General features: G+C 31.7%; 1 protein-coding gene across 9 annotated transcripts in view; it reads right to left on the reverse strand.

Moving 5' to 3' along the window:
* The window catches only part of TECRL (trans-2,3-enoyl-CoA reductase like), a 133,163-nt gene extending 124,498 nt beyond the window's left edge, over positions 1-8,665 (reverse strand). For 8 of the 9 annotated variants that reach the window (XR_001741192.3, XM_024453961.2, XM_005265664.4 and 5 more), the window contains exon 1: positions 8,323-8,665. Coding sequence is in view for 8 of the 9 variants with exons in the window: in XM_024453961.2 (XP_024309729.1) it covers positions 8,323-8,556 (234 nt within the window). In the remaining variant the exon portion in view is untranslated. The remainder of the gene's footprint in view (positions 1-8,322) is intronic. The other variant, NM_001010874.5, reaches the window with a different exon arrangement.

An 8,956-nucleotide genomic window follows, 5' to 3' on the forward strand; every position in this document is an offset into this window, starting at 1 on the left:
CTTCCTGAGGCCTCCCCAGAAGCAGATGCCACTAGGCTTCCTGTACAGCCTGCAGAACTGTGAGCCAATTAAACATCTTTTCTATATAAATTACCCAGTCTCAGATATTTCTTCATAGCAATGTGAGAATGGCCCAATGCAACAAATATAAGGGAAAACATAATAAGTTTGCCCAGTGTCACAACCTGGATAAGTGTGTGAGGTGGCTGAGTGTCTTAAAGCCTAAGCAGATCCCAATACTATCTTGCCTCCCAAATGTGGCAGTCTTGAACAAGCTCACACAAGATTTCTTCTCCGTTTTATAGAACTGTCTTCAGGGTTTCTACTACACATTTTATCTTCCACGTAGTTGACAGATTTAATTTCTGAAAGGCAGATCTGAAAAAAAATGATTACCCTGTTCAAAGAAAAATAGTCCAAATGCCCTAGCAAGGCAATCAGGCCCTCTCTGATCAGCCCCAGCTATACCATTTTAATCTCAGTTTGCTCTGTTTTGAAGTATCACACCATGTACTTAATTACACCAACCCAGGAAGCTTGGCTTATTACTTTCCTGCCTCTTTTTTTCTTGGATATGCTAAACTTTCTTCCTGGGTTGCTCTTTCGACCTCAACCAGGCTAATGTTCTATACTATATACTTTTCAAGATCCTTTCAAGTGCCATCTTCAGCTAAACAATTCTTTGACTCTCATACTCATAACTAAATTTCTTTTACATAAAAGAATTATTTCCCTAGACTTCTCAGTATAATTTGTGTTAAACTTGTGTATGCTATTTATTATATTGTAATTTGTTTTAAATGTGTTATCTGTCTTTCCAATTAAATTCATGCATTTTAAGGTTAGCAAATACATTTCATTATAAGCTTCGTGTAATCTAAACTATTTGAATAACAAAGCAGGCATAGCTCTCTCAAATGTGTACGTCTCTCTTGACATAGTCACCACTTCACTGCTAGTTTCCGTAGACAGAAATGTTATTTAAGCTTTATGTATGTTTTTAAACTAGTGTTTCCAGTATTAATTGTATTCATTCAATCTTGATTTAATAGGAAATAGGTTTTCTCTTATTTGCACAATATGCTCCCCTTAATTTCATTCCTTTAATGGTTAGCATTTCTTTGTTTACCTCATCTTCTCAGATTTACCATTTTAAGTAGAAAATTTCCAAAGAAAACACAATTTATTCACTTTTCATTGGTCTAAAAAATTTAGATCATTTTTGCTATTTTTTTATATGTACAAAACAAACATTTCAGAGTTACTTTTCCCTTGCCTACCAAGGGAAATACAAACTTTAGAATCAAATTCAAGAAAAGCCTGGATATGACCTATTCTTTTTTCTGAACCCAAGATAGTTTTATTGTAAAATAACATTTAGATGGCTTTCAAATGTTTGAATCATGGCAGTGTTAAAAATATTTCCATGTCATCTAATTTGGTGCTTCTCAAACTATGTAGAGTAAAGTAATTTTTTTTAAACTTCTATTTTGTCATGGACTGATACATTTGTAAAATACAATGAAAATAAACTATTAGAAAAAAATACTAATATATCAATTATAAGCCTCACTATTTTATGATTAAAATAGTAGGTTGGGCAAGCATAAAATATCTCTTTTAAACGTCTATGATAGCTTACAAATGCCCACTCCTAACTATTGGATTATATACAGTAATAATAGATATTTGAATCATTACTGGGATGAGGAGTACATCTGCTTATAGGAGACCCTAAGTGGCACATAAAGGAGTTGTCATCTCTTTTGGACAATACGGAATGAATATGAACTATACAGATTGTGACGGAACACACTTCAAGCAAGGGAATCAAATTTTCCTGAAACTCAAGAAATAAAAATTACAAAATGTGTATTGAGCCTGATAAGTAGTATAGAATGTTGACACATGTAGTAATAGAGAAGAGCTAGAAAGTAATCTCAAGAATGTGAATTGGGGTACATAAGAGATGTATAAAGTTGAAAAATGAAGGGTAAGTCTGTAAAAAGATCTGCTACCTACAAAAGCAATGCCTTCCAGTGAACTCACGTGTCTTATCTCCCAATCTCCCATTGTTTATAATCCCCCATCCCAGATTAGAGTTCTCCCTAAATCACTCTGCCTAAAGTAGTCTAGTTAAACTCAATGAATATCACACCATTTAATATAAGGGATACTTATTGCATTTCTCTGTGCTTCTTAGCCATATTTGACACCACTAATCTTGTCCTTTTTACTTAAATTATCTTGGTGAGGTTTCTGTGATAAACATTCCCCGTGTTCCTATCTCTCTGGTACATTCTCCTTGTTTTCCCTTATCATCTTCTCTTTATTTAAAACACATGCTGAAGTTTCTCAGGCCTCTGTAACTGGTTCTTTTCTCTTCCTACTCATTACATTGTTCTTTACAAATGTATCTTCTCTAATCCAACAGCTACAAAGATCACCTATACATTTTAAATTTCCAAATCAACATATTTAACCATGACCACTCCCCTGAGTTCTTCACAGCCAAAGGTCTAATGGTTAACTATACATGGATATCACACAGGAATCTCCAACTTAAAATGAAAAAAAAAAGGATGATTTCTAACTGCCTGTCTACTTGTCTGCACTCAAAATAAGAAAGCAAGCTAGCAAGCAAGCAAGCAAACAAACAATATTCTTCCCTCCCTGAGCGCACACACACACACACACACACACACACATAGACTTAGTAAATTATTTTAGCCTCAGGCATATCTCCCTGTTATATTCTTCTTATAAACTATCTAGGACACACATAAATATAACTTCTCCAGGAAAGCCTTCCTGTTCCATAAAAAATGAATAAAAGTCAGAGATACCAGACCATGCCTAAGGAAAAAGAAATCACACTCTCAGATTTATACTAATATAGAAGACTTTCTGAATTCAACTCCCATGTGCTTTTGATTAATTCTTATATCATGAAACACCATAAGAAATAGGAAAAAGAAGACTGAGGGGGCATGGGGAGGAGGAAAAGGGGGGCAGGAATATGAGGAAGAGGCAGAAGAGTAGATGGAGCAAAAGAGAAGGAAAAATGAAAAGAAAGACAAAAAAAAAAAGATACTGTCATTTGCATGTACACGAAATTCTGAAAACTGCCATGTGGCCATTCTAAGGCAGATACTATTCCCATTTTACAGATGAACAAACTAAAGCATAAATATGCTAAGTATCATGTACAAGGTAAAGTATTAAAATGGCAATGTCAAAAATTAAGAATTGTCAAAATTTCTAAGGTTACAAAGGTATAATTTGTATGCACTCTTACTATCCTGTAATTATTTCTACTGTTTTCTGAGGACAATTGTTATTTTTACTATTAGAAGAATTAGAGAATTATTGAATGCTTTATTTTATTCATAAGAAATATTTAAAAAGCTTTTGAGAGTTTTACCAAAAAAAAAAAAAAAACAATAGGAGAAAGAGAGCTCTTGAGGTCAGGTTACTTGGAGAAAAGATTGAAGAAAATAGAATGAGATGATATTGGAAACATTTACCATTTATCAACTCAGGCTCTTAGAGTTCTTGCATGCTCTTCAATCATTGACTTATCAGTAGATAAGCTTCTGACATTTTACAAGAAAGAAATGAGACAACAGCAGGCAGCAACTGGAAATGGTTCATTGTTATATTTTTAAAATTTATTTTTCCTACAATCTCTTATTTTTAATGTTCCAACAAATACTTGAAAATGGTATTTAACAATTATTTTAAATCTGCTCTCCATTTTGTTATCCATGATTAGTTATTTTAATCATTCATGGGAACTAGCTAAATGAGCTAAATAAATATTCCCATCTGCTTTATGAAAATCTTATTAAAATTGTCATCAGAACATGACTGTCTATTAATGAATTATACACTAACACAAAGTTAAATTATATGTATTTGTTTTCAGAATAAGCTGGGGAGAATTTGAGCAGTAGGTAAAAGGGTTTGAGAGAATGTCTTTTTATGTGAATGTATGAACAAATATTCTAACAATAATTTGATTTGATGTAGAAAATCATAAACTTTATTTTCAAATATTATACTCCTCCATCTCAAAACTATCACTACTGAACATGAATGCTGTGTCAAATTCACATGTTTCTTGAACCGGAGTGCACTTATTCAACACATATTGTTTAAACACTTTATTTGTGTTAAACATTGCTATTAATGCTGAAGATACAAGTGTGTAAAACAAACAAACAATCTGATATTTTTGTGCTTATATACTAAGGGTAGGCCAAATAATGAACTAAAGAAAGAAAAATAAATAGTAGTTTAGTTGGCAATAAGTCTAGTAAAGAAGTAAAACAAGGAAGCATAATAAAAAATGTTGGCTAGCTTTGCTCTCTTAGTAGTCAGGAAAAGCCTCCAGGAAATGTTAACAGTTAAGATCTAAAGAAAAGCATTGACTAGTTTTGAGGAGCAAATGATATTATCTGCCAGGATTTAACAGGCTAGTTCTTGTTGTTAGTAGAGGATATATTGAAAGTGATAAAGACACAAGTAGGAGGAAGATTCAGGAGTGCTAGAAGTAGAAGGGTTGATATATTTTGAAGCTATTGCCAAGAAGATGGATTGTATGTGAGGTGTCAGATTAAAAGACAAGTCATGATTTCTCCAAGTGTTTGGCCTGAGCTATTTGAAGGATGTAGTTGCCACTTATTGGCTTAAGTAGCTCTGTGGAAGATGTTTGGGAGAAGACCAAGTGGTCAGTTTTAGAGATATTAAGTTTGATATGCCTGGTAAACATCCAGATAGCTCAATAGATTAAATCGATATATAGATATGTAGATTTACAGTCCAAGGAAAATAATAGGTTACAGTATATGTTTATGAGACATCACTAGGAAGTTTTTTTTAAATTATGGAACTCAATAAAGTAAATTATTGTAGAGGAGGAGAAGTTGTGATGACTCAGTTCTTGAAAGTCCATTCCTAATAAGTCAGTTGAAGAATCAGCAATAAGGAAAGGGAAAAGCCAACGAAGTTGGTTAAAAAAAGTGTATATTCTCCTGGAACTCAAATAACAAATGCTAGTTAAGGAGGAGGCGATTAACAGTGGAAAATGTTGTTGATATACCCAGTAAGATAAGACGTGAGAATAGGGCTCTGCATTTAGCAAAGTATTTGCCGTGCCTCACTGGTGACCTCAGTAAGTTCAGATTCTGAGAACTGATGGAAGTGAGTGCCCAAATGAATTGGGACTAGGATACAGTGAGAAGAGGCAAATGAAAGCTGACAATATGAATACCTAAGGAAAGTAATGAGAGAAATGGGCAAAAACTAGAGACGACAGCAGAGGCAAGAGAAAGCTTTTTTATTTGTTAGGCGCGCGCGCGCGCGCGCGTGTGTGTGTGTGTGTATGTGTGTAATTAAGTTAAAGAACATAATAAATATATTTTCTTTCATCCTAGGACTTTTCTCAAAATTTTTATCTCATGAATATTTTGAGTCTATACTTTGTCCATTTTAAAGTTTGAGTAATAGACATAAAACAAAGTTTCTGTTAGAACATACATTACTAAGATAATACATCTCATTTAAGATATTTGATAAATATATCTATCCTAAGCATTATAACAAATCATGTCAAAGAATAATTAAATATTAAGAAGTCAAATTTAAATTCTTAGCAAGTTATCAAAAGGCTCAGCATTTGTTATTGTTATATTTTATGTATATTACTTTCTCTCTCCAAATGATTATTAAAAATAAAATAATAATAATAATTTTGTCCATATTATGGTCAAAGCGCTATTCTAAGCATGTAACATATATTATCCCTACTCTACTAGAAGTTTCCAAAGTAACATTTATTAACTTTATTGATATGATTTTATTAACCCATATTCTAAATAAGGGTCTTGGGGATGAGCAATTCAGTGACTTTCTTACTCCTTGATAGACACAAATGATGTAACAGGGATTGAGTCCAGATATGCTTAATTCCAAAGTACATGGTATGTAAATTGTACCACTTTACAGCATAGTAAGTATTGAAAGACGGGCACTAAGTTATAAGCAACATTTCTTTTGTACACTGGGTAGAGCCAGGTACAATGAAAGGCACTTAATATGATCTTACTACAAAGTTGTTAATTTGTCTAAGAAAAATAACATCAGGAATAATAATAATAATAAATAAATCAGTCTTTTTTATGTTTACAAATTCAAAATGTTAGAAATTACTAAGCAAAAAAAAAAAATTAATCTAGAAGACTTTTTTCTCTGAAGTGTCTCACCACTATTATGAAACAGTTTATCAATTTACAAACTAAAACAAGACACAGCAAGATCCACTTCTACTCAGACATCAAAGATTTGAATGCAGTAAATTGCACATTATATAGGGGTGATTGTGCAATAAAGGATTATGAGCTATCCAGTGTTAATCCTCTATTTAGCCTGCTAAGTTTCTATAAAGATCTGCCACTTGAGATGCAAATGTCAGGACTCTCATAGTTCAAACATGAGACTCCCATGCAAAATTGCAAAATTCTTATCTCTGAATAATGAATATTTAAATTTCATTTCTTCTAAATGTTTAATTTTTTTCACAATTTAATTAACACGTAAAAATATAAAAATCCCTGTCTTACCTTCAAATAAAATATGAATAAGAAAAAATTTAAATGTGTAAGGCAAATAATTAGGAACTAATTGGCATGTGTGTGTGTGTGTGTGTGTGTGTAATTAAGTAAAAGAACATTTAAACATCATGAGTTTTTCATTACTTTAAGGTGGATTGCCTGTCAGGGTCTATACACCTGTCAGAAAGGACACAATAACCAGTGTCATTTTAGAATTGTAGTCTTTGGAAATCCTTGACTTATTTGATTTTCATTCCATTTGTTGCACTGTGTCCTTGAATTTAACTGTGTTTTTTCTTGTAAGATTTGTGTTTTTCATAGTGGAATATTATAAACATTAGCAACTTCTGAAGAGTAATTTTATTTTTTTATTTTTCTTATGATATTTAAATATAAAATATTTGTGTAATATATTTAAATATTAAATATTTTGTATGATATTTAAAAATCTCAAAACTTCACCTTGATACTAAAATAAAAGTAAATTATAGAAGTCCTGAAATAAATATATCAAAATTCTATTTTGTATGATATATACTCATCGCTTATATATGGCCTCAGTAGAACTATAGAAAAAGCATATGATTTAAAACTGTACAGAAATGGTTTTAGATCTTTTAGTTCAATTCATGACCTGTGTGCACTAATAAAAGGTCTTAATCTTTCTTTTCCATCTATGAATTAAAGTTAATATAACTCAATTTATAAACTGCTCATAGTGTTATAATTACTGAATAAGAAATTATATATTATGTGCTTGGCAATTATTAAAGAAAGGACTAAACAGCTTCTTTTTTCCTTTTTTCTAAAGACCTAGCTAGAACATGGAAAAACGGAATGATTGATTGCATTTTATTTTTAGAACACAGCAACAAAAACGTATTCAATATTTTTGTAAAACAAGATCAAGCTCTATTTTATTACCTGTACAAATATGCCTTTCTCATATTAAGTTAATAGTACTTTTCAAATTTATTAAAAACTGAAAATGCTTGGAATATTATTTATGCATATATTTATCTAAAATATAAACATATATTTATAATTTAGTTTTCTAACCTAAGAAGAGTATATTTTCTCATTCCTTAGTGCAACACCTGTGAATATGGATTTGGACGAGTAACATTTCAAAACATTATTTTCATGAACTTAAATAGTGTTTTTGAAGCAAGTAAACTTTCATAAAAAGTGAGGTAGTCACTTTTTAAGAAAAATAATAAAATCAATTCAAAATAATGCTTAAATGATTAAATTTTTTCAGACATATTACATGTTACTTCTAACAACTACTGTGGCTTTTGCTTACTATTTTCTATAGAAACTAATCAAACTCTATGATAATTTGTATATACAATGAAGTACACGAAGACAAAAACCTGGAGACATTTTACATGTAGGAAAATAGGTTGAGCATTTGTAATTTTACCTGTGGACAATGGTCAATGACAGCATAAAATTCACAGACCAATGACAGAACCTCATTATTATCTACCATTTAATTAATTTAAATTGAGTATGAGAGATGCATTGAACATCTTCTATTAAAACAATGCATAAAGTATGCATCCTGTTCACCACAAAATTAAGGTAAAAGTCAGAAATGTATTTCAGAACAGTCGTGTTAGAATTTAATCAAGCAATCAATAATATTTGGGGCAGAGAAGAAACACTTAAACAAACAAACAAATAAATAAATAAATAAACTCACCTTATCCAGAATACATATCTGTTTCCTTGTTTGAGCATCAAATATTTCAATCTCAAAGTGAGTCGTTTTTGAATGTTTGACTGCTGGAGTTGGTCTTAGAGGGCCCGCTGAGAGTACAAGTTTTGACAAAAAGTGAAAATTTCTCATATCATCCTTCAGTATGAACCGTGTAGCTCTTTGGGAAAGTAATGCTCTCTTGCGTTCCGAAGCGAGGGACTTGTGCCTTTTGAACATTGTGTGAACTAAGAGGAGGGTCTGTCATGTCAAAAGTAGAAAATTGCAAGTGTGTTCCTTTTGCATCAGTTAAATACTGCTGGAGAACCTTTGAAAGGTCAAATGGTATGCCATTCCAAGAGTTCAGTTTTATTTAGCAGGCTTGAAAACAGTGACTGATCTTATTTCTATATATAACACGCTATTGTGATTTGCTGTGTAGAGTATTACTTTACCAGCAATTGAATGATTTCTTGCTTTCTCCTTTTATCTCTGCTTTGTAATATGACTACTCTTATCTGAAATTCCAAAGCAAGAATAGACAGAACATTTTCATCATCTCTGAGTTCTGGATGCACTGATCTTCAAACACACACACACATTTGCATTGAGATGTATTTAACATTAGCAAAGTGCTATC

Source organism: Homo sapiens, chromosome 4 (genome assembly GCF_000001405.40).
Source record: "Homo sapiens chromosome 4, GRCh38.p14 Primary Assembly".
NCBI lineage: Eukaryota > Metazoa > Chordata > Mammalia > Primates > Hominidae > Homo > Homo sapiens.